The sequence below is a fragment of the Homo sapiens genome, chromosome 3 (assembly GCF_000001405.40).
Source record: "Homo sapiens chromosome 3, GRCh38.p14 Primary Assembly".
NCBI classification, from domain to species: Eukaryota; Metazoa; Chordata; class Mammalia; order Primates; family Hominidae; genus Homo; species Homo sapiens.
The window spans coordinates 123,661,518-123,684,763 of NC_000003.12; the positions used below are offsets into that span (position 1 = coordinate 123,661,518).

At 48.8% G+C, this 23,246-nt stretch overlaps 1 protein-coding gene across 20 annotated transcripts in view, besides 1 other annotated feature; it reads right to left on the bottom strand.

Annotated features, from left to right (window-relative positions):
- Positions 1-23,246, bottom strand: part of MYLK (myosin light chain kinase) — a 274,284-nt gene that overhangs the window by 51,469 nt on the left and 199,569 nt on the right. For all 20 annotated transcript variants that reach the window (XM_047448184.1, XM_024453532.2, NM_001321309.2 and 17 more), the window contains 4 exons: positions 20,707-20,793; positions 5,620-5,670; positions 4,702-4,829; positions 2,588-2,741 (listed from right to left, as the gene is read on the bottom strand). In XM_047448184.1, coding sequence (XP_047304140.1) covers positions 2,588-2,741; positions 4,702-4,829; positions 5,620-5,670; positions 20,707-20,793 — 420 coding nt within the window. The remainder of the gene's footprint in view (positions 1-2,587; positions 2,742-4,701; positions 4,830-5,619; positions 5,671-20,706; positions 20,794-23,246) is intronic.
- Positions 20,969-21,786: an enhancer, noted in NCBI's record as "H3K4me1 hESC enhancer chr3:123401333-123402150 (GRCh37/hg19 assembly coordinates)". NCBI's record gives its function as "activates a minimal SCP1, AML or CMV promoter by ChIP-STARR-seq in primed H9 embryonic stem cells {active_cell/tissue: H9 hESC(primed)}" and the evidence as "EXISTENCE:reporter gene assay evidence [ECO:0000049][PMID:30033119]".

The following is a 23,246-nucleotide window of genomic DNA, read 5'->3' on the forward strand; positions in this document are numbered from 1 at the left end:
GTTCTTCTCCTTTAGAAATGAAAAACCCATTCCCTGACCCCTTTGTACACCAGTCTTCCCCGATCTGAAACTTCTAACCAAAAGAAACAAAAGAACAGGGTCAGAGGAAGGAAGACAAAGGGAAAAGAGGGGACATGGGACAGGGTGACGGACACTGAGAAATGGCTGAAACAGAACACAGGGTAAAGAAACAAGGCCAGGGAGAGGAACAGAGCAAGAGAGAAGGTAAACAGAAATATGGACAACTGGGGGTGGGGAGTGGATGCTGGAGCTCAGTCCTCTGTGAATTCCCTCTCCCGGGTCCCCTGTGTCCAGGGACAATCTTCCAGGGGGCTTTGCAGTACTTCCTCTCTGGGGAGTCGGGCCAGGGTGTGGAACCTGTGGTCTGTTCTGGTAGCTGGCATGGGCATAGCTCACTGGCCACCTCATTTGTCTTCCCAGCTCTGTATTACTTTGACCTTTATCCTCGTGTCTTCCTTATTCACCTGGTTGGACAAGGACTTCTTCTTCCCCAGCTGCTTAGGGGCTGAAGGGAAGTGCTACAGGGCTTCCTAAGGCTCAGCATGAGAAAAATGGAGGCACAGACATCAACAACTCTCTGGCATGTGGACAGCTCCCCAAAAGGCTTGCATGTCTCCCCTCAAGATGAGTTTTGCAGCCAGAGTGTTCCTTTACCTTTTGGGACATTCTGTACCTACTTCACACTCCCATGAGTGGCACTGGAGGACAAGTGTTTGAAAGTTTAGAGCTAGTTCCCACTTAGCCTCTGATGCACTATGTTACTTTGTTCAGATTAGGCCTCAGTTTCTCCTGCATAAGGCTGGAAACATCAGTCCTGTCCATCCTAGTCCTAAGGTGATGATACGAGATGAAGATAGGGGAGAAAAACTGCTTGAGAACTAAGTCAGGGAATCACAGAATGTCAGAGAACAAAGTCAAGGAATCACAGACCACCAGAGAACAGAGGTGAGGAACCATAGAATGTCAGAGAATAGAGTCGAGGAATCAGAATGTCAGAGAATAGAGTTGGGGAATCATAGAATGTCAGAGCTACAAGAGACCTTAAGAGTCAATGTCTACAACTTCTAACTTCATATCTAGATACTTCCATAAGAGAGATTCCAGTGGAAGACTTCTAACCACGGTAGCCACACAAGCCCTGTTACCAACAGATCCTTTTGTTCTGTGTGCCCACGTGTGTGTGCACCAGGAACACACAGGAAAGGCTAGTTTGCAGGAAGTTAAGGTTGGGATCAGCACACACAGCTGAGAGTTTTGTGCACTGCATAAAAGGGGTCTAGTGGGGGCATCTGGGCCAACCTGTCCTCCCCAAGGCCAGGTCATGAGTTCTGGGGTGAGGCTGGGGGTGCTGTACCCTTTTCACTCTGCCCAGCAAGGCCCCTTTTTCTAATTTTCACAAATGTACCCTATAAGCTTGAAAGCCAAGGACAAATGGAAAACCCGCTCGGGTCTCGTGCACATATCAATAAATGCCAGGTCAAAGGCTTTCACATGCACAACATATGAAGGCCCACAAATGCATGAGGCATAGAGTCTACTCTCTCTCTCTGTCTGCTCCTCTGCCTGCTCATTCTTCTGCTGTCCCAAGCACCTGCCACACGGGGAACAACTGGAGCAGAACATGACAACAGCGGGAGACTGGTTAGAAAACTCTCTTGATGCTCCAGGAGAGAGCTGACCAGGGCACGAAGACAGTGTTAAGGGAGGAGAGGAAAAGTGAACTTGAGAATCAGTCTGGAGACAGACCCCACTCAATCCTGGGATGAAGGAAATCCTGGTATGAAGGTAAGGAAAATCGAGTGGAGTCAGGATTGGGAGGTCATGGTGACCTCAGAAGAACAGTCCCTGCAGACTAATGGGGCGTGGGGGTGAGGCCATAGGCAGCTGGAGGGTGCTGGGGGGTGAAGAAGCGGAAGTGCAGTAGAGACTCACCCCTGTCAGAGAGAGAAGGTAGGGTGGCTAGAGTGAGAGAGAACATTGCAGGAGTTATTAATGCCTGTGCATCTGGCTAAGATGGCGACACTTACGGGCTGCTGGGAGGAGCCAGGAGAGAGGAAGAGGTTGAAGAGAGAAGTAGGGATGGTGGAGCCCCCAAGGACCTGGGGTCCAGAGCACAGGAGAAGGGAGCAGCCTTTGGTGGGACCAAGGTGGGCCATCCCCAGAGCCTGGAGGGTGGAGTCAGGATGGGGACAGATACAGACACCTGTGGCGTAGGGGCCAAGAAGTTGACCAAGTTTATGCCTCATGTCTCTTATTTCTCAAATAAGCTAGATGCCAAGGCCTGAGGGCGGGGAACTCCAGGAACAGCTATCACAGAGAGGTGTTGATAGAGACAGGGAAAAGGATTTCTGCCCAGCCTTGGCCCCTCTGCTGAGCCTGGAGGTCAGCAGGGTCTAGCAGGGAGTCTGTGGGTTGCCGTGATCTTCTTTCTGTGGTGCCTTATAAATCAGGCACAGGAGTGGTGAGAGATAATGGGTGATGAAGTCCTGAGGCCCACGTATCTTGCCTGGGGGCTCCCTGCCTTCCCCTTGCCCCAAGCTCCATGCCACCCAGCCACCAGACTCACCCACGACAGTGAGGTTGACCTGGGCCTGCCTGCTGCCCAGCTTGTTCTCCACCAGCAGTGTGTAGCAGCCGCAGTGCTCCTGGCGCGCGGCCAGGATGGTGAGCTTGCTGCCATTCTCGCTGTTCTCCACCTTCATGTGCTCGCTTTCCTGGATCTAGGGGCGGAGGATGGAGCAGGTGCTGGAGCCTTGGGCCCCTGGGCTAGGAAAGGAAGGGGGCTCCTCCCCATTCCCTACTTCCTGAAGGATGCAGCTGGACAAGCTGTGGGGGGGCTCAGTCTGGTCTGGACTCTGCCCTTCTCCCTGAGGCCCCTTCTCTCCTACATCCAGAGTCCAGCTTCCCTGAGGGTGCCAGGTCTGGGGTGGGCAGGGAGGGTGTGGAGCAGGGGCAGGATGGATGGATGAACTAGCTGAGCACTCACTGCTCCCAGAAATATCCTGGTCTCCCTCTACCTCTCTGGAATGGGATGATAGGAGAACACATCTCAGCAAAGTCATTCACAAGATCCACTCCAGTGGGTTCTAGCCTCTTCTGTGCTGTCCAATGCTGTAGCCACTAGTCACATGTGGCTATTTAAATTTTAATTAGTTAAGTGGAAACAACCCAGATGTCCATCAACTGATGAACAAATAAACAAAATATGGTCTATCCTGACAATGGAATATTTATTATTAATTCATTGAAAGGAATGAAGTACTGATTCATGTTACAATAAGAATGAGCCCTGAAAAGAGTATGCTAAGTCAAAAAAAGAGAAAGCTACACAGAGAGAATGACATACTGTATGATTCCATTGATATGAAATGTCCAGAATATGCAAATCCATAAATACTGAGAGTAGATGAGTGGTTGTCAGGGCCTGGGGGAAGGAGAGGAATGTCTGCTAATGGGTCTGGGGTTTCTTACTGGGATGATGAAAGTATTCTAGAATTAGATAATGGTGATGCTTGCACAACCTTGTGAATCTACTGAAAACCACTGAAGTGTACACTTCAAGAGGGTGAATTTTATGGCATATGAATTATATCTTAACAAAGCTGCTATAACAATTTTTAATTAATTAAAATTAAATATTCAGTTCCTCAGTTGCACTAGCCACATTTCAAGTGCTCAATAGCCCCATGTATATGGCTGGTGGCTGCCATATTGGATAGCACAGAGATAACACTTTCATCAGGGCAGAAAGTTCTGAAGGACAGAGCTGGGACTTGGCTAAATGTCTCTGAAAAGTGATGAGATTCCATCTTATTTCAGACAACAGTAGTCCAGATGTCGCTCAGGGCAAACATGCTCTGGGATGCTAAAGGCAAACTTCTCATTTCCATCTTTTGAGACCAACCCTACTTTCCTCCCTGTTAGTACTAAGTGTTCATCTCTGGGGCTAGGAGAATTTGAGTGATTTTAAAACAGAGTAACAGAGGGCTCAGAATAAATCTTCACAACTTCCCACTCCTGTGCCAACCCATCATTCCAGGGTCTCTGCTGATCATGCATACAGGCACACACTACCACCGTGGATTGGTGGAGCTGCTGGGCTCCCCAAGTCCTTTCAATGCTGGTTGTCTAGAAATTCAAACATTGTTCCATAGGAACCATTATGATAAATTGTAGCTAGATTTCTGGGTCAGTCAGACACAATTCTATTTATCATACAATTCTTCTATCCAAATACTCACATTTGCTTTTGTCCCTTCAGCATGTGGCAAGTTTAAGTGGTTATAACAGACAGGAATCAGTGGGCTGGCACAGAATCACAGCAAGCTCATGGAGTCTAAGGGTCATCTTGGGTCACAGGCTCGACTTTCCTGACTCTGAATAGGATTCTAGACTGTGCTATCAAACCAGATGAGGGACATGGATGGTTTCTACTTTTCCCCTCACACTTCTATTACACAAATTGTCTACAAAGGCGGGGATTATTGGTAGATTCAGAAGCAAAGGTTAACAAGAACTCAGGTTTGGCAGGTGAGCGATGGGTAGGGGAGTGGCCTCTCCCATTTCTAAAGCTACGAAGAGTGAGGCCATCTCCAGCACGGCATTTCTCATCCCTTTCGGTCCAAAGGCTGTACGGATTATTCCCAGCACCCCCAGTGCCCACCCCATACCGTCACTGACCTGCTTTCGGAACTTCATCCAGGTACAGGTGATGGGCTGAGTGCCTGTCACTTTGCCAAACAGCTCCACTGACTCTCCTGCGCGTACCTTCTGGTCCTCAGGGAACTGGATGATCTGAGGGGGCATTGCTGAGGGAGGACAGGGAGAAAGTGAGCGAGGCAGAAGGGTCTCAGGCATTCTGATCACATTCGACGCCATTGTCCACAGTGGTCTGTTGGCTTCTCTCTTGGCTTCCGGAACCTTCAGGGTAAGACTGAGGGGCAGTGATCCTGCTGCAGGACATCCAAGTTCATGGACCTGCTAGGTTTGTTCACCTCTTCTTTCTGATTCCCTCAGAAGTGACCCACACTACTTACATGGCATGATTCTCCATTTATGGGTTGTACTGGAATTTGTGACTTACCCTAATTTTTTGAATTGAGGTCCTAACTCACTTATGAATTAAGCATCACCTTGCCTTCTAAACTCCAGGTCACCCTGGCTGGCAGGCTTGATTCAAGTCCTCAAGTGTCATCCAATGGAAAACAGACAAGGGTTCCATATAACAAGGACACACAGAGCTGGGCACAAAAATAGCCCCAAGAGGGTCATGTACACAAGGGTAGGGCAGAGGATGGACAGCAGGGCAGAATTCGTAGAAGGGGCAGGCAGGAGAGCTGCTAGTCCTGTATGATGCTGTCAACATGGGAGGCAGATGGAAAGACAAAGCTGTGGAAGGGGACCAGGAGCCAGGCTGTGCAGAGGCTCTCCATGAGCAAACTCAGCCTGAAAAATGCAGAGCTGGAACTGAGGGTGGGGGTGGGGTTGCAGTGGGGTGTCTCCTGGGATCACATACCCAGGTGTCAGTCTAGCAAGGTAAAGGCAAAACCCCCATGGTAGATGACTTCTTTGACCCCAGATAGTGCCGTGGCCAATTACCTGCCTTCGGAGGTGTCTTGGGGGCAGGTTTCTTTTTCACAGTCGCATCACCTGAAACAAAGAAGTTCACAAGTTATTTCCTGTAGTTCTGTTTTTTTCACAAAGCTCCTGATCCTAGGAAGATGCAGTCTTGTCCACTGGCCCCTCATCCAGGGAGGACTCTTATTTGAACATGTCTTTTCAGGCTGAGCACGGTGGCTCACACCTGTAATCTCAGCACTTTGGGAGGCCGAGGCAGGTGGACCACTAGAGGTCAGGAGTTTGAGACCAGCCTGGCCAGCGTGGTGAAACCCCATCTCTACTAAAAATACAAAAAAATTAGCTGGGCATGGTGGTGTGCACCTGTAATCCCAGCTACCCAGGAAGCTGAGGCAGGAGAATCGCTTTAACCTGGGAGGTGGAGGCTGCAGTGAGCAGAGATTGCACCACTGCACTCCAGCCTGGGTGACAGAGTGAGACTCTGTCTCAAAAAAAAAAAAAGAAAAAAGAAAGTAAATGAATATGTCTTTTGAGAGATCACTTTGCCCTTTCACACAGACAACCTCACAGACAAAAAAGAATATCAGTTCTCAGGGACCTATGAAAGGGTCTCTGAAGCCTCCAATGAGATTAAAAACTCTCTAAAATGCTCGTGCTCCCATAGCCCTTTTCGAAGACGATAATGCCACACTCATTAACCACTCTCTCACCCTAACTTTCAGGAAACTCAGAAAGGAAATTATGTCATGTCAGATAAACCAACTAAAATTAGCCTTTGGTGTGGATCCAAGGGTCGCAAGCTTCCTTTGGGTCACAGACTGTTGACTGGTGGCTTTCATTTTTTTAAAGTTTGTTGGATGGATGAATGGATGAATGAATAAATGGTCTCCTCCCTTCTTACTCTTACTTCCTCCAAATAACTCAAATGAGAAAAATGACTCAAACAGAACAGTCATGCAGCACAAACCTATTCACTTGGCTAAATCACAATATAGTGCACGTGCGAAAACATCTTGAGCTGTCTTCACGGCTTGTTTCAAATCCCTTCCAGGTCTTTGCTCAAAAGCCATCTAACCTATCTATCCAAATAAAATGAAAACCTACAGGCACACAAATATCTGTATGCGAATATTTGCAGTGGCCTTATTCATAATTGCCAAAAACTAGAAGGTATCCAAATGGATGAACTGTGGCACTTTGATGCCACCAATAAAAAGGAAGAAACTACTGATACACAGAACATGGATGAATCTCAATGATTTCTCTTTTTCTTCTGCTCAGAGAAGCCAAATTCAAAAGGTCACATACTGTATGATTCCATTTATACGACATTCTAGAAAAGGCAGAACTATAGGAATGGAGAACAGATTAATGAATGGTTGCCAGAGGTAGGGTGGGGGAGGGGTGGGCTGCAAAGGGGCACAGGGAAATGTTCTGTGGTGACAGAACCAGATCTTGACCATGCTGGGAGTCCATGATGACATTAATTTATCAAGACTCACGGAACTGTGCACCAAAGAGGGTGAAGTTCACTGCAGGGAAATTATACCTTAACATAAAAAATGAGGAAAAGCCACTTCACCAGTGAGATCTTCCCTAACCACCCCATACAAACAGCAGCCCTGCCCCCAGCACCCCTCATCCTTCTCATCTCGCTTTATGGTCCTCCCACCCCATAGCACTTATCACCATGTGAAAAACTATATCTTCACTTATTTATTTACTGTCTGCCCTTCTCCTCCTCCTAAACTGTGAGCTTTTTGAGGCCAGGGACTTTTTTGGTTCACTGCTGTATATCAATGGGCCTGGCACACAATAACGATTTGTTGAATGAATGAGTGGGCTAATATTAACAATTATTCATCCAGATAACTTCACCTCTGCAGATGAAGGGGAAGCGGTGTCATTGGCTTGGATATGGGTTGCCCTGTGACCACAGGCAAATTAGTAACTTGTGGAACTTGTGCATTTCCACGACAGGACACGTGCTGCTGCCCAGTGAATGCCCCAGGAGGACTGCGTGAGGCAGTGATCCCTGGCAGGGGCACACTGAGATCACCGAGCTGATGGCTGCCGGCTGTGTGGTTAAGCCCAGGATGAGGGCTTCCACCAGGTTCCCTCTGGCTCATTGTCATCATTGATCCATCCGTCCATCTCCAAAAAGTTACTCAGGGCCTACTGTGTGCCAGGCAAATGCTAGTCAGTACACACGACTAACCTGGGTACTGAGGAGGAAACCAAACAATGTAAGAAATCAGGCCTCAAGGTCTTAAATATCAAGACGTGGTCCACAGGAAAGAGGAAAGGCTTTTTTTTTTTTTTCTTTTGCCATAAAGGACATTTATAGGATAACTGGCAACATCTGAATAAGGTCAATAAATTAGAGGATAGTATTGGATTAGTGTTAATTTCATGTTTTGATCATCAAACTGTGGCTTTATAAGAGATTGTTCTTGTTTTTAGGAAATACACACTGAAGTATTTAGGTGTAGAGGGTATCCTGTGTGCAACTTTCAAACTGTTCATGGTATATACATATATATGTGTGTGTATATATACATGTATATATGTGTGGAGAAGTAGAAGGAACAGAGAAATGGAAAAAGAGAGGGAGAGAAAGAATATATGAAAAAGCAAGGCCAGGTGCATTGGCTCACACCTGTAATCCCAGCACTTTGGGAGGCTGAGGCGGGTGGATCACCAGAAGTCGGAAGTTTGAGACCAGCCTGACCAACATGGCAAAACCCCATCTCTACGAAAAATAGAAAAATTAGCCAGGTGTGGTGGTGTGCGCCTGTAATCCCAGCTACTCAGGCGGCTGAGGCAGAAGAATTGCATGAACCCAGGAGGTAGAGGCTGCAATGAGCTGAGATCGTGCCACCGCACTCCAGCCTGGGTGACAGAGCGAGACTCCATCTCAAAAAAAAAAAAAAAAAAAAAAGCAAACATAGTAAAATGTTAACCTTTGAGGAATCTAGATGAAGGGTATATACAATAATTTTTCATGCTATTTTTACAATTTTTTCTGTGAGTCTCAAATTATTTCAAGATAAAAGTTAAATAGAAAGTTATAAAAAAAGATGTTATTCAGTCAACGTGATGTGGCTGTTTGAATGGAAAAGGAACACTGTTGGTGGAGGAGATGGTTAGTTAGAAGGCTAAAAGACAGGATGTAAGATGGACCTGAAGGCTAGGGAAGGTCTGAACTGGAGAAAGAGGAGAACCCACAGGTCAGGAATAGACAGTGGCTCAGAGGTGAGAATCAGGGTGATGTTTGGTGGAGGCTGGCAGAGCACAGGGCTGATATTGGACAGCAGTGGTATGAGGATAGTGGGCACTCTAAATTAAATAAAATTAAGGTGAGGCATAGTGGCTCAGCCTGTAATCCCAGCGCTTTGGGAGGCAGAGGTGGCAAGATCACTTGAGGCCAGGAGTTCGAGACTAACCTGGGCAACACGGCAAGACCCTGTCTCTGTAAAAAATAATAAAAACAGCCAGGTATGGTGGTGCCTGTCTGTAGTCTCAGTTACTTGGGAGGGATTGCTTGAGCCCAGGAGTTCGAGGTTACAGTAGCTATGATTTTGCCACTACACTCCAGCCTGGGTGACAGAGAGAGACCTTATCTCAGAAAAAAAAGAAAGAAAATTAAAAATTTGATTCCTTGGTTGCACTAGTCACATTTCAGGTTCTCAATAGCCATAGGTGGTTAGTAGCTATCACATTGTGTTGACGTAGGACATTTCTTTCATCACAGAGGGTTCTGTTAGACAGTGCTGGCCTCAAATGCTAAGCTCACGAGCTAAGGCTTTGTCCTGATTGAACAGCATGTCCTCACTCAAACAGCAGTCAGGCTGGGCTAGAGGTCCCTGATAGGTCTTTCCAGCTCTTGCGGGACAGATCCAATTAGGAGGCTATTGCCATACCTTGGAAGGCACTGATCAAGATCCATGCAGAAAAGAAGATGCAAATGAGAGGCAGAGGAAAGTTAAAATAATTTAAGGGGCTAAACAAGAAGGAGGTACACAGATTACTTTGAGATTTCTTGCATAGATACACGTGGAAAGTCATATTGAAGGAATATAGAATTAGGAGTACAAGATTAATATTTCAGCTTGAATCTGTTTGTAGGTTAGAAGCCCAGGATCAGAATTCCAGAGGGAAGTTTGTGGAGACTGGAAGTGAAAGATTCCAGAATTAAAGAAGCCATTAGAATGGAAACCTTGAAGATGGGTCAATTCTTTGGGGAAAGAGAATGCAATGAAAGAGGGGCGGAGGCCAGGGTTTGATCCCAGGTGTGTCCACAGTAAAGAAGCCGAGACACAGGAGAGGGCTGTGGAAGGACCCTGAGAGCAGGAGGAGTGTCGCCACAAGCAAGGGTAGAGGACAGATGCTGGGAAGAGCACCAGGTGTGCCCAGCATGGAGTGAGAGACGGTGATGCTGGAGAGGCCAGGTTCCATGGGACAGCATGGTCCAAAGTCACCCCAGAGGAGATTCTTGAGCAAACAGTGGGGAGTAAAATAGTCAAGGATCCTGGAGGTGAAAGGACAAAGAGAAGCAAGGAAACAAGAGGGAATATGAAGCTCAGGTTTCTTCTGAGGTGAGAGAAGAGAGAAGATGACAAGGTGGAAGGCAATGGCTAGGGCACAGTGGAGAGAGAGAGCCCAAAGACACTAGAGGGAAGAGCACGGGGAGCCAAATCCTTTGGTGGGGGAGACCAGATGGGATATGGGACGCCTGTGACTGGCTGAGCCACAAAGGCCCTGCCCCTCTTTGTCCAGGACTGTTGGGAAGAGAGAAGCTCTCCAGGGAAGAAGAGAGGGCTTCTACCGGAGCCCAGATATGATCTCTGGAGAGAGGAGGCCATCTGTTCAGAGGAGCTACGTGGAGGGCTGTTGTCATGGGCTGAACTGTGTCTCCCCAAATTCACATGTTGAAGCTCTAACCCTTGGTACCTCAGAATGTGACCGTATTTAGAAATAGGGCCTTCAAAGAGGTAATTAAATTAAAACGAGGCCATTAGGGTGGGCCATAGTCCAATTTGGTGTCCTTATAAGAAGAGATTAGGAAGAAGAGAGACAGGGGCAGGGGGAGGAGAGAGAGAGAGAGAGAGAGAGAAAGGAGCGAGAGAGAAAGAGGGAGGAAGGGAGAAGGAGGGAGGAGAGCGAGAGAGACCAGACAAATGCACACACAGAGAAAAGAACATGTGAGGACACAGGGGAAAGACTGCCATTTTCAAGCAGAAACCTCGATCTTGGACTTCTAGCCTCCAGAGCTGTGAGAATCAATTTCTGTGGTTAAGCTACCCAGTCTGCCGTACTTTGTTAAGTCAGCCCTAGAAGACTAATATAGCTGTGGATGGGCATCATTAGTGGGGTGGGCACCAGTGGGGTGGGCACCAGGTGTGAGAAGGAGGCTGACAATCCCTGGGGTGATGAGCTAGGAGCACAGCATGAAATCAGGGGACTCCAAAGTCCTGCCCCATACTTGGTGGCTCTGGGTAAACCCATTTGACTGGAAGAGAAGCCCTAACTAATCTTTCAGTGTCATGGTTAAATAGGATTGAAGGTCAAATTTTTATGTTTGTTCTGTAAATTTGGAGCTACCATTGTTTGAATTGGTTAGCATTTGAAACTGGCTTGGTTCCTATCAGTAAAAACAATTTAAGCGTTAACAATGTTTTATATCCTATTCTATACATATTTTATATGACCATCTGCTGAAATCCACTAATTGTGTGCTGGGCTTATAGGGGAAAGCACCTGGTTCTAAAACCCGGTTTCTCAGAGGGAGCATTTCACTTGGTTCTCATCCCAATCAAACACAGCAGGGAGTATCATAATGTTTCCATTTTATGAAAAAGGAGATGGCATCTCATAAAAGTCTGGTGACTTGCTAGGTTCATAAAACCTGATGTTCTGGAGCTGGAAATGGGATCTGAGCCTCCTGCCACCCAGGGTATGGAATAAATAAAATTTGTTGTAAAGAGTTAAGCTACATTGTAAGGGAAGTATAGCATATAGTGCAGCATGTTCTTTTTTTCTTTTCTTTTTTTTTTTTTTTTTTTTGACACAAGGCCTTGCTGTGTCATCCAAGATGAGTACAGTGGCATGATCACAGCTCACTGTAGCCTCGACCTGCTGGGCTAAAGTGATCCTCATCTCAGCACCCACTCAGCTAATTTTTTGTAGAGACTCACTATGTTGCGCAGGCTGGTCTCAAACTCCTGAGCTCAAGTGAGCTCCCACTTTGGCCTCCCAAAGTGCTGGGATTACAGACGTGAGCCACCATGCTCAGCCTCAGTGCATGTTCTAACATCAGCCCCTCCCCCCACTCCCCCGCTCTCTGAAACAAACAGATCCCCAGAGGACTTCTCTGTCCTTTGGGACAAGTTTGGCCCTTTCATCTATGTGGTACCCTGTTGGTCAGTTCAGCCTTACACTAACCTGAGAGCTCTCATGTGGCACCTGTGCTTCTTCTCCCCAGTCCAGGTCCTCAGAAGAGGGGACATTCTGCAGGTCCAGATGCCCAAACAAACTCACAGTACTCCCTGGCTCACTAACTAGTTTCCTCTCCTCTGGAGTCACTCTTATTATCTTATTATTCCTGTCAGCCCTGTGTCTCTCATCCTCTTCTCTGACACCCTAAACTTTGTGTACCAGCCAGTCAGAGAGGAACATCCTAGAAGGAAAATAAAACCCATCCACCTTTGCAAACTCCATGATGGCTGCTGGCCATGGGACAGGCAGGGAGGGCAGAGCACGCCCTACTCAGGCTGCTCCTCTGAAGAGGGGCTCAGCCACCTCCTTTAGGCAGTCAGCCCAGGCAGCACATCCTTCCTGGTAGAGCACTGCCCCGGGGTACTGTGCTCATCGCTGCCCTTTGAGCTCCTCTTTCTATCCCCTATTCTCTTTCCTCCATTTCCCCTGAAGCCAGACCTCTCTCCTGAGCCCATACCAATACATCCAACTACCTGACCATCATCTCCCAGGGAGATGCCAAACACGTACTGCCAGCCAAACGTGCAAAACCAAATCCAAGACCTTTTCCCCAAACCTGCTCCCTGTCCCCATTTCTCCCAAGGCCCCCTCCCTGCCCATATCCACTGACAAATGCCTGTTGTCTACACCAACTAAGTACCTCCTCAGTCTGCCAATTTCTACCTTCCCACCATCAGCATTGTAGTCCCAACTGCATCACCTCCTAGGCTTCTGGTCCCCTGTCCCCCGTCACATTTGTCACTCTGTGGCCAAAGTGATCTTTCTCAAATGCAAATATGATGTCACTTCACTGCCTGAACCTGTTCAGTGGCTGCCCATTGCCACTCAGGATCAAATTCAACTCATCTTACGAGGTCTTTGAGCTCTGTCCCTGGCTTTCATCCCCAACTTTCTTGCTTGCTTTCCCAAGAGGGAACAACTTTCATCACAACCTCAATACTCAATATCAGTGGTTCTCAAAATTTAGCCTACATTATGATTGCCTGGAAGACTTAATAAAAACATAGATTCTTGGCTTCCAGGTGCTGGTGCTGCTACTGCTGCTGGTCCCTGCACCTTCCTTTGGGAAGTACTGCTCTGTAATCTACATGGAATGTCTTTCAGTTTCTGCAACACCAGGCTCTTGCCTTCGCTCCTTTGCACATGCTGGGCCCTCTTCTCTTGGATGGCTCTTGCATATTCTTTGGGCAGGTCGCCCCAGCTCATGCACCACTAATGCCCCACGGGGTTCATGGCCCTCTGAGGTAGCTCCATCACAGCATTCATCAGGCACCGCTATTTCAGAAACCTGTCCCCAACATGGACACACCACGGCAAGCTTCTGGGGACAAGGATAGGGTCTACCTTCTGTATCTGCAGTGCCTAGCATAGTACCTGGCACATGCCTGATAAATGGCCATTAAAGGAATGAGTGAAACCCTCAAGGATTTCTGTTAACCCGGGAATTCCCAAGGAACATTCTCCCCCAGCCCTGGGCACTGATGCTGAGAAATATAGCCCTGGGGCTTGAATTTTTATATAACTTTCTATGAAAAGGATCAGTCTCTGCTGTCCCCTCTGGGATCAAAGCTGCCAGGTGCTGAGCCTTCCACTCTAGATAGGAGATTGATATTAGAGGAAGTGAAATAGCCCAATAAAAACATGAATCAAAGCATTGGATCTGGAAGCCTCCTGGGAAACCTGGGGCAGGGGTGGGGAGGCCAGCCTCCTAATTGTTCAGGTAATCTGTTCCAGCTGACCCAAGCCCTAACCTAGTCCTGGGGAAAAAAAAGGAGGTCAGTAACCCACAGAAGTTTCCAGATGCTCAGTCTGAAGGCACCTGAATGCCTCGCTCTGAAACATGGAAAATCAGCAGGGCAGAGAGACCAGAGTAAACATTTGCAAGATAGGTGCAGAGCCTGAAGGTGGGTCTCACGGAGTCAAAAGGTCTGAGATAATGGAAAGCAAAGGAGAATTAGGGAACTAGCCTTACCAGCCTTGGGTACAGGGAGGTCCCTGGATGTCTGCCTCTCTGGGGACATTTCCCTTTTTAGGTAGGTAGTTAAAAATAGACATCAAATCCTTCAAAATTCCCAAAATCAGCATGAACTTTCTGCCAAAGGCTCCTGAAAAGGACTCCAGCTGGGTTGAGCATGGAGTGAGCACCCACCCCATGAGGCTGTATCGGAGCAGGAAGGAGGTGGGGGTACCTGAGGATGGAAGGCTGAGTCCTACCACACTGGCCCTGGGTGACCTGACCCACTCCCCTACTGTATACGCTGGTCTCATCCAGTACATGCTTACAGATACGTGGAGGAATATTGGTCATTTTCCCAGAATTAACATCTCTGGGCAAATTTCTTGCTCACCTTCCTCAAAGCAAGGGCTGTCACATAAGGAGATTGCAAAGAAACACTGCTCCTCTGATTACATCCATTCCCAAACCCCCAGGACACAGAGCATCAGGATGGTTGTGAAAGAGGTGTGCTGGGCCAGGGGTGCCAGCATTGCTTGGTGGGTACCTTCCAGGTCTCCCCTCTGGCCAGTTCACTGGCTTATGGGAGACACTGGGTGAGTTGGGAGGAGTAGTGGGTGGAAGTCATAGGGTCACATGCCTGTGGGTGGGAGTGTGCCAGGTAGGCACTATTCCTCCTCCCAGACCCACATTTTGGTTGGGAGTAACTGGGAGTTGGTGCCAGCTTTCAGAAACATTCATGGAAATAGCCCAGCCTCTCTCCCAGGGCCCCACATCTTTCACTGTCAGGCAAGTCTTGATGCCAAATCCCAACCTCTCTTCCAGCCTTTTGAATCCCATCAGGATTGAACATTCCTCATGACCTGAGGAGGAATGTTTAAAAAAAAGATTTGATCCTGGGGAAATCTTGCATGGAAAAGGGACAGTTTTTAATATCCAGAGATGCTTTCAAATTGACACAACTTTCCATTTTAGAGGCAGACACATATGGGAGGTCTAGGCAAAGATATCTGAGAGTCTCATAATCTGGGATGTTCCAAAGTGACTGATGTCAGAGGTGAAGCTCAGGCCAAGGCCAGGCATGGACTGCAAAGGGATGTTCCATTGGCATCATCCCCAGTGGCAGAACCACAGTGGAGGCAGGGACCCTTGGAGCATGGGAACTTATGAACTGGTTTGAAAAATCAAATATTTATTATAAACCTACTGAGAGACCAGCTAATGAAGTTTTGGAGATGGACAGGACCTGGTTTCTGTCTTCAAGGTGTAAAAGCCCCACATGGATGTCCGTTTATATCTCTTCTGAAAGACCATCAGCTTATATAGACTGCTAGGAGGAACTCCCAGAGTCTGGTATCAAACTGGCATCACCTCATGTGCATTTCCTAAGGCCACTTCTTAAGCCCCATCAATGCCTCCTTTACACAGCCAGCATGCTTGTCTCCCCTCACGCAAAATTCCCAAGAACTCCCCTGGCCATTTGGGCCCCCTCCAGCTGGGACTCCCCTAAACCTGTATGCTTAAGGCCTCTTTCCCTCAGGACACTTTTGCTGCTGTGTGACCTAAACTATACTTGCTGTAGCTTTGGACTCCTTCACACTTCAGATGATATGAAGGAGAGTTATTAATCTCAACTGAACTGTGTCACTCAAAAGCTTTCCATCCAACGGGCTGATGCTGATGTCAGAGTTGGGAAAGGCCTGAGGTCAGCTGGAGAAACTCCCCATCTGACTGGCAAGGAAGCCCAAGTCCAGAGGAATGAAGGGCTTTGACCAAGGCCACATATTTAACTACTGGGAGAACCAAGACCTTCGTCTCCTGCTCATTGGCTTTCTTGCTGTGTCTTGTGCCTGAGTGCTGCCCCAGAACTGATCATAGTAAGTTGGCACCTGGAGTCCGACAGGAGTATTTCTGTCTCCCCATGCCCTACTCAGCTTAGGTGGAAGAGTGTGGGGTGTTTCTCCCCTGGGCCTGTGAACTTCTTTCCTGTTCCATCTCCAAAGGGAGGAGAGGACCCACTCTGGGCTGGAGGAGTGCACGAAGTGTTTTAGGAGTGTTATTATTAAATATTCATCAACAGGAGAAAAAGATAGCCACAAAGAACATTATTAGAACAATTGACAATAAATGTAGACTATGAATCAATTAGACAACAGTATTGGTTCAATGTCAAATTTACTCTTTGATTTTGATTTCAATAATTGCATTGTAGTTATGTTCTTAGGACAACAGCATAGTTAGAATTCAAGGGCATGATATCTCCAATTTGGCCTAAAATGGTAGGTACCTATCTCTATCTAAATGAATAAATAAATGAATATATATATATATATATATATATATATATATATACACACACACACACACAGAGTACATCCTGAGACTGCAGCCAGGCCAGGGTGTAGTGGCCAGAATGCAGGTCAGGGTTGGCACCACAGTTCCACATCTTACTAGCTGTGAGACCCTGGACAGGGCAGTTTAGTTCTCTGAGGCTCTGTTTTGTTCATCCCTAAAATGGGAACAGCTATTTATAGCGCAGTTGAGTGAGACTCGGCTGAAGTGACATAGATCGAGCTCCTAAGGTGCTCCCAGTGCACAGGCACTCGGTAGACTCTGATTTTGTTCAGCCTGCAGCTGTCCTGAGACAGGTGCCCTCACAATCTTCACTCCAGCATCTGTGTGGCTCCTCCCTGTCTGCCTTCTCCCCAACTGATGTTATCATTTTCTCTCCAGCCAAACCACATAAACCACATTCCTCTCCTCCTCCATAACCTGACCCCGTTTTCCTCATCCCGAAATCTTCCCAAGCTGCTCCCACCTCCCTCCTGCACTTGTGAGTCAGTGTCTGGCCGGTTAACTTGTACTTCTGTCCGCTTTCTCTCACCCCGTCCTTGCTTGGGTTGGGGTGGATGCCCTTGGCTTTTCCCTCATGCTTGTCAGTGCTCAGCAGGGAGGGGGGTGTGCAGAAGAGGGAACTGGTCATGATCTATTTGATGAAAAAATCACTCAGGCTCACCTCAGGAAAGATGGATTTCCCTCTTAGACTAGGTACTTCTCAGCCCTTGACACAGAGGAACACACACACAAACACACACACACACACAGCCAGATCACTCATGGAATCAGAGGTGTCTGGGACTGGGGATGGCAAAGCTAAGAAAAAAAGGCAAGTTGCAGAGGTATACAGACTGTGCAATTCCATCTCTGTGGGACAAAAATCCAATTGATGTACTTGTGCCTGTATATAAAAATGCATAGAAAAAAGTCACTGAGTATTTTTGGGGCGTGAGTAGAATTGGGGTGAGATGAAAGAGGACTTTCATGTTGTACATAGTATATTTCTATATTGTTTAAAATGGTTAAATAAGAATGTGTGCATATATAATGTATATAATCAATAAACTAACAATTATCCTCCAAAGGGAGAAAAGAATGGGTGCAAATCTAAAAGACATCTTCGGCCGGGCGCGGTGGCTCACGCCTGTAATCCCAGCACTTTGGGAGGCTGAGGCGGGCGGATCACGAGGTCAAGAGATCGAGACCATCCTGGCCCACATGGCGAAACCCCATCTCTACTAAAAATACAAAAATTAGTTGGGCGTGGTGGTGCGCAGCTGTAGTCCCAGCTACTAGGCAGGCTGAGGCAGGAGAATCGCTTGAAACCAGGAGGCGGAGGTTGTAGTGAGCGGAGATCGCGCCACTGCACTCCAGCCTGGTGACAGAGCGAGACTCTGTCTCAAAAAAAAAAAAAAAAACAAAACAAGACATCTCCTTCACTTCCCATCTCTGGGCAGCTGCCTTCTCAGGAGCTTCTCAGGAGGCTCCAGAAACAAATCCCAGGGTATCTCTCAGGCCCCCAGGGTACAGGCTTCTGAAGGACAAGAGTGCAGGGGTGCAAGCAGGTGGAGGGCAGCTAGAGCCAGCCTGGCACCGCTCTCAGTGTTGGGGTAGCAGGTTTGGAGTAACAGAGATTGGAGGGTGGGCCAGCAAAAGGGTACAAAGTGGCCATGACTTTGGAGTGTGTAGAGACACACACTCCCATTCTTTCAGGAGCAAGATGTCTGAAATTCCAACATGGGGGCTCTGCACACAGAGTGAAATCCAAGTGGGGTCTACTGGAGTTAATCCAGTCATGAATGTGTGTTTTCTGTAAAGATGAAGCACTTGCTACTAGCCTGCTGCTCCCCCACTAACTCAGACTGAGCTTCATTCCCTGCTTCCAGCTTCTCCACCACAAGGTGCCTTGTTCGGCTCTCTGGGCAACATGATACCCTAAGGATGTTGATGTGAGGGTCCCCGAGGCAGTTCCACACTTAACAGAGGCAGCAGGGGAGACCCCCTTCTGCTTCTCAAGACCCACAGTGTGGGCACCAGGTTTCTCCCTGGAACAGCTGGTTTCCAGCTTGACTGCACATGACGTGACCTGGAGCTTGAACAAATACTGAGGCCTGGCACCCACCCCTGAGATTCTGATGTAATTGGTCTGGGGGCAGGGGAAGCCTGTGCGGCAGTGGTTTAAATGCTCCCCAGGTGAATATAACACACAGCCAGGGGTGCGAGCTGCTGCTCCAGACTCGGACAGTGACAGCTTGCATGGGGTTTCCACAGCCTTCTGTTCTCAGGGCAGAGAGCCCAGCTCCTGCTCTGCTCATCATCTCAAGCTTGTTTTCCTCCTCCACAGCTCGGCTCTGACCCCATCTCACCTCCTCAGGGGCTCACTGGAGTGGGTGTGCTGGAGCTGAGGGCTGGAGGCTGCCCACCAGATCAATACCTGCCCTGTAGCTTCTGCACCCAGGAGTCGGGGACAGCCATGCCATAGCCCCAATTCACAGCCCCTGGTGCCCTTCCTACATTCTCTATCTCTTCTGCTCACGGTTTTCCATACCAAGTATAGCACAGGTCCAAGGAATATTTTTGGAAGATAAAATTATTAACCCATTCTCACCAGATTTTTCTTGGTATTATGTATGCATTTCCAACAACTTATTAAATGTCCATTCTTGATATTCTCAGGCTATCTACCTTGGTTAAGTATCAATGAGAAATTAATTCCAATTTCTCTGCCCCAACATACTGAAGGCTGAGTTCCCCCAACAGCCTGGCTGGGGTATGTTTGAGGAACCCAAGTTCATCATTAGGAAGGTAAGAATAAAATAAAGTCACAAAACACTGCATTGTAATGGAAAAAGATTGTAGTCTGAGTTAACCCGGCTCAATTATTTTCCCCTATCAGTACGGGCAATTAGGAGCTCATCTTGTTTTTTGTTTGTTTGTTTTAAAACACAGCATGTGCTGGGGATGTTCAAGCAACTCTGCACCCTCTGTTGAAATTGTAGTTTTCAAAGGGTAGTTCTGCTGTCAAAGTTAGATTAAAAATTATAAGGGAAGCCAGGGTGACATTGTGACTTCTGAGGCACTTCTGCCTTTATAGCCCCCTCCTCCACCAAAAAAAAGTAAATAGATTTAATTACATATCAAGTATTATATTTGAATTATGTAAACTACACTTTTAACTGCATGGGTATAAAGATGAATATATTCATGTCATGAATTAAAACCTTTTCTTTGACTTAAGAGTTCCCTTTTTTCTTCTAATTTTATAAGATATTACAGCATTTGGCAGGCCTGTAAAAGCACTGTGGACCCTACGCATGGTGCCTAATGGATGTGTGGGCTACGGGGAAGCTGAGATCCAAAAAGAGGGAGGTAGCTGCCTATGGTCACGGAGAGGCTCCTTTCTCTCTTGGCTTTTTATACCACACTGCGATTTGACTCTAAGAGAAACTGGGAAGGGCCTTCCACGAGCAAGGCGCAGCATGTGTCATTCTGAAAGGTAATTGCTTGAACAGACCCTGTACAATGGAGGAGGGAGGATGAGACCCAGACACATCTCCGTGACATTGGGAAGGAGGTAGTGGAGGAGCCAGGTGCTGACACTGTGGGAGCTGAGGTGAGGAAGAACTCAGGGATGAGAGACTTTTCAGAGGAGTTTGGCAGAAAGGTGTCCCATGGAGAGAGGTGCCAGAGAAGGCATGAAGGAAGGAACTTGGGGGCTGTGTAGTGTGCAGTGAAGAGCTCAGTTTGGCCTGAGTATAAAATAGAAGTAAAGGAGCTGGGGGCAGCACCGGGAAAGACAGGCGGGGGGCAGGCCACATGTGGGACCACGTGTGCACATGCGAGCTAGGTATGTCCTCGGCACTAACATGTGGAGCTTTGCTTGTGGGTTTTGCAGGCTCTGGGGGCCACTGCATATTTCAACCAGGAGTGATGAGATCAGAGTTACAATCCAGAAAGAGCCCCTGGGAGGGCAGGATCAACTGGGGAGAAATTAGGAGGAGCTCTCCTAGAGTCTTGGTGGGAAGTGAAAGGGCATGAAGGAGGTTGGGCAGGGGAGGTAGATAGGAGCTCAGATGAGATGTGCAACACCACCCAGGCTGGAGACAGGCTGGAGAGAGCACTGGGATGGGGTGAGAAAAGGCCACTGGCTCTGTTATTGGGAGTTCACTGGGCACTTCAGGGTGTGGGCAGACATCAGACTTCCAGGGATTCAGGCAAGAGTGAGTGACCAGAAAGTGGGGGCTCTGAGGCTGCCCTCAGTCCCCGGGGTGCCTGCCCCTGCCTCTGCCTCTGCCTGGTGAAGCTGGGCGAGTACTCACTCTCAGTTCCTAGCACGGGAGGAAGAGAGCTCTTGGGCCTCCGGGATTTCATCTCTGGGGCCTTGGTGTTCTCACTGGCTGGAGCATCTGGAATGAAACAGGTAACAATAAATGTTAGCAGCTGCTGAGGAAATGAGCAAAGGGGGTCTCTCAGTCAAAATCCCACCTCAGCCAAACTCCTCCCCAACTCTGAGGGCCCTTTGTGCCCGCTGGGCAGAACAGCGCCTGTGTCCAGGCAACCTATTTCACTCTCCATGAGAGCATCAAAGAAGGACCGTCCACTACCCTGGGCCTGATTAATCCAGTGGGGACAGCACCGTCACCTTGGCAAGATGAGCGCACAGGCTGCCCAGGGAGCTTGGGATGCTCCCCCGGAATGCCATTGCTGGCAGAGTCACCCCTTGCTCACCTTCCCTGGCTTTCTCCTCCATCAGGCCTTGTCTCCCTCATGCTAGAAATCTTGGGTCTCCTCTCCAACAGGGGCGGGAGGGGACAGGGTCCCCGCCCTTGGGATCATGGACTAGAGGTGGCGCACAGCTTCTGATTTCTCTGACTTTCTTCTGCAGACCAAACTTTGCAGTGACAAACCAAACGGAGGCCTCTGAGCACACAGCCAGCATGCCTCCCACCTCTGAGACGGGGTCTAGGCCCCACTGTGGGGCTTCTGCTAGACCTCCCCCAACAGGCCCAGTGAAGCTGGGCACAGCTGCCTGCTGGGCGGACCTAAAGATGCTGGGCGGTGCCTGCCCTCAGGCTCTGTTCCACACTCCCTCTGCCAGAGGAAACCCTTCCTCATGGAGGGCAAGCAGGGCGACATCACTTGGCTGGGCTGGGCTGGGCTGGGTGGAAAGGCCCTCACTGGCCCCCAGGACACTATGGGGAAACCATCCAGGAACTGGGATAAGGAGGAGCTGGTTGAGTGGCTATCACTGGGCCCCAGCACTTTCACTGGCCTTCCTTTCCCCACAAGGAGCACTCTTTGGGGACGGCGCTGAGAGAGTCTCCCCCTTGAAGCCCCCTCCCTGGGCATCCTTTTCCTGCTCCTGAGGAGAGGAAGCTAAGTGGGGGTGGGGGTGGGTGGGGGGACTTTCCAGCAGAGGCTCCGCCACATTCCTGAGGCTTGGCTGGGGAGGAAGTGCCCTCTCATGGTCCGCCTCCAGGACTGGCAGTCAGGGCTGATCTTGCCTAGACTGGGCTCCTGGGGCTCTGAGGGGTGGGCGCAGGGAGCAGAACTGGGGGCTGGGAACATACTTCTCCCAGCAAGTGGACTCTGAGCTGCCTCTGGATGCATTTCTCCTTCTGGGAGGCATTTAGGCCCCTCGCCTTCTCCAGAACATGGATCTGCCTGCATGAGTCCCTCTGCTCATCATCACCCCGATAGGCTTTCTTCCCAACCTAGTGCCTGCCTCCTCTCTGCTATGGGTAATCCAGGGAGGAGGCCCTGTGCGGGTGTTGCAGGCTCATGGCAGCTCAGAAGCAGACAGGCCTCCGGGGGCTGTGGGGGCAATCCCCCACCAAAGACAGCCGAAAGCCCTGCATGCACCATTGTGGGCCTTAAGTAGGACTACTTAGCAGTATGTGACGGGGTGTTGGGGGGAGCAGACAGCCAAAGCAACCCTTTCAAGTAGCACTTGACACCAAAACGCTCCCTTGCCTCCACTCCCCACTGCAAGCTGAACTCCTGCCACCTCCCATACGGGCAAAGGAGCCCCAGATGGCACATCAGGGGTCCCTGCTATCTGGAGTGGACACTCTTAAGCTCCTCAGGAGGCTGCCTGTAACCCAGCATGCCAGTTCCATGAGGACACAGAGAAGCAGAAAGCCATGGGGCAGGGATGATTTCATTTTCTTACACTGGACATTTTCCCCAAGGATCGTGGTCATTCTCAGCTACAGAAAAATCCTCTGGACATAGTTATTTGTCAGCCTCGGTGGATCTCAGCCTCAGCTGTATGTTAGAAGCACGTGTGCCAGGGTATCACACCCCACAGGTCCTGGTTTCATTGGTCTGGGTTGGGGTCTGGGCACGATATGATCCAGAAGCTCCATGGATGACTGATATTTGGCCAACAGAAAACTCCTCGTCTCTCCTCAAGCACAGGGAGTGCGCAGGGAGTGGCTCCAGGACTATTCCAAGAGGCAGAAAAACCTAGCAGAGCCTCCCCTTGATATCTGGGGATGAGGGTGCCATAAACCAGGGGCATGGAGTCAGTCTAAGCTTCCCTTGTCCGGGCCTCTCCCTTCTTCCCTTCCTTGAAGACCAGCATTTCTAACAGTCACCAATGACAATGTAAAGAAAGGTGTACCCAGTAATTGTTTTGTTTGGCCCCTTTTTTTTTTTGAAATGGAATCTCACTCTGTCACCCAGGCTGGACTGCAGTGACATGATCTCGGCTCACTGCAACCTCTGCCTCCCAGGTTCAAGTGATTCTCATGCCTCAGCCTCCTGAGTAGCCTCCTGAGTACACGCCTGACTAATTTTTCGTATTTTCAGTAGAGATGGGGTTTCGCCATGTTGGCCAGGCTGGTCTTGAATTCCT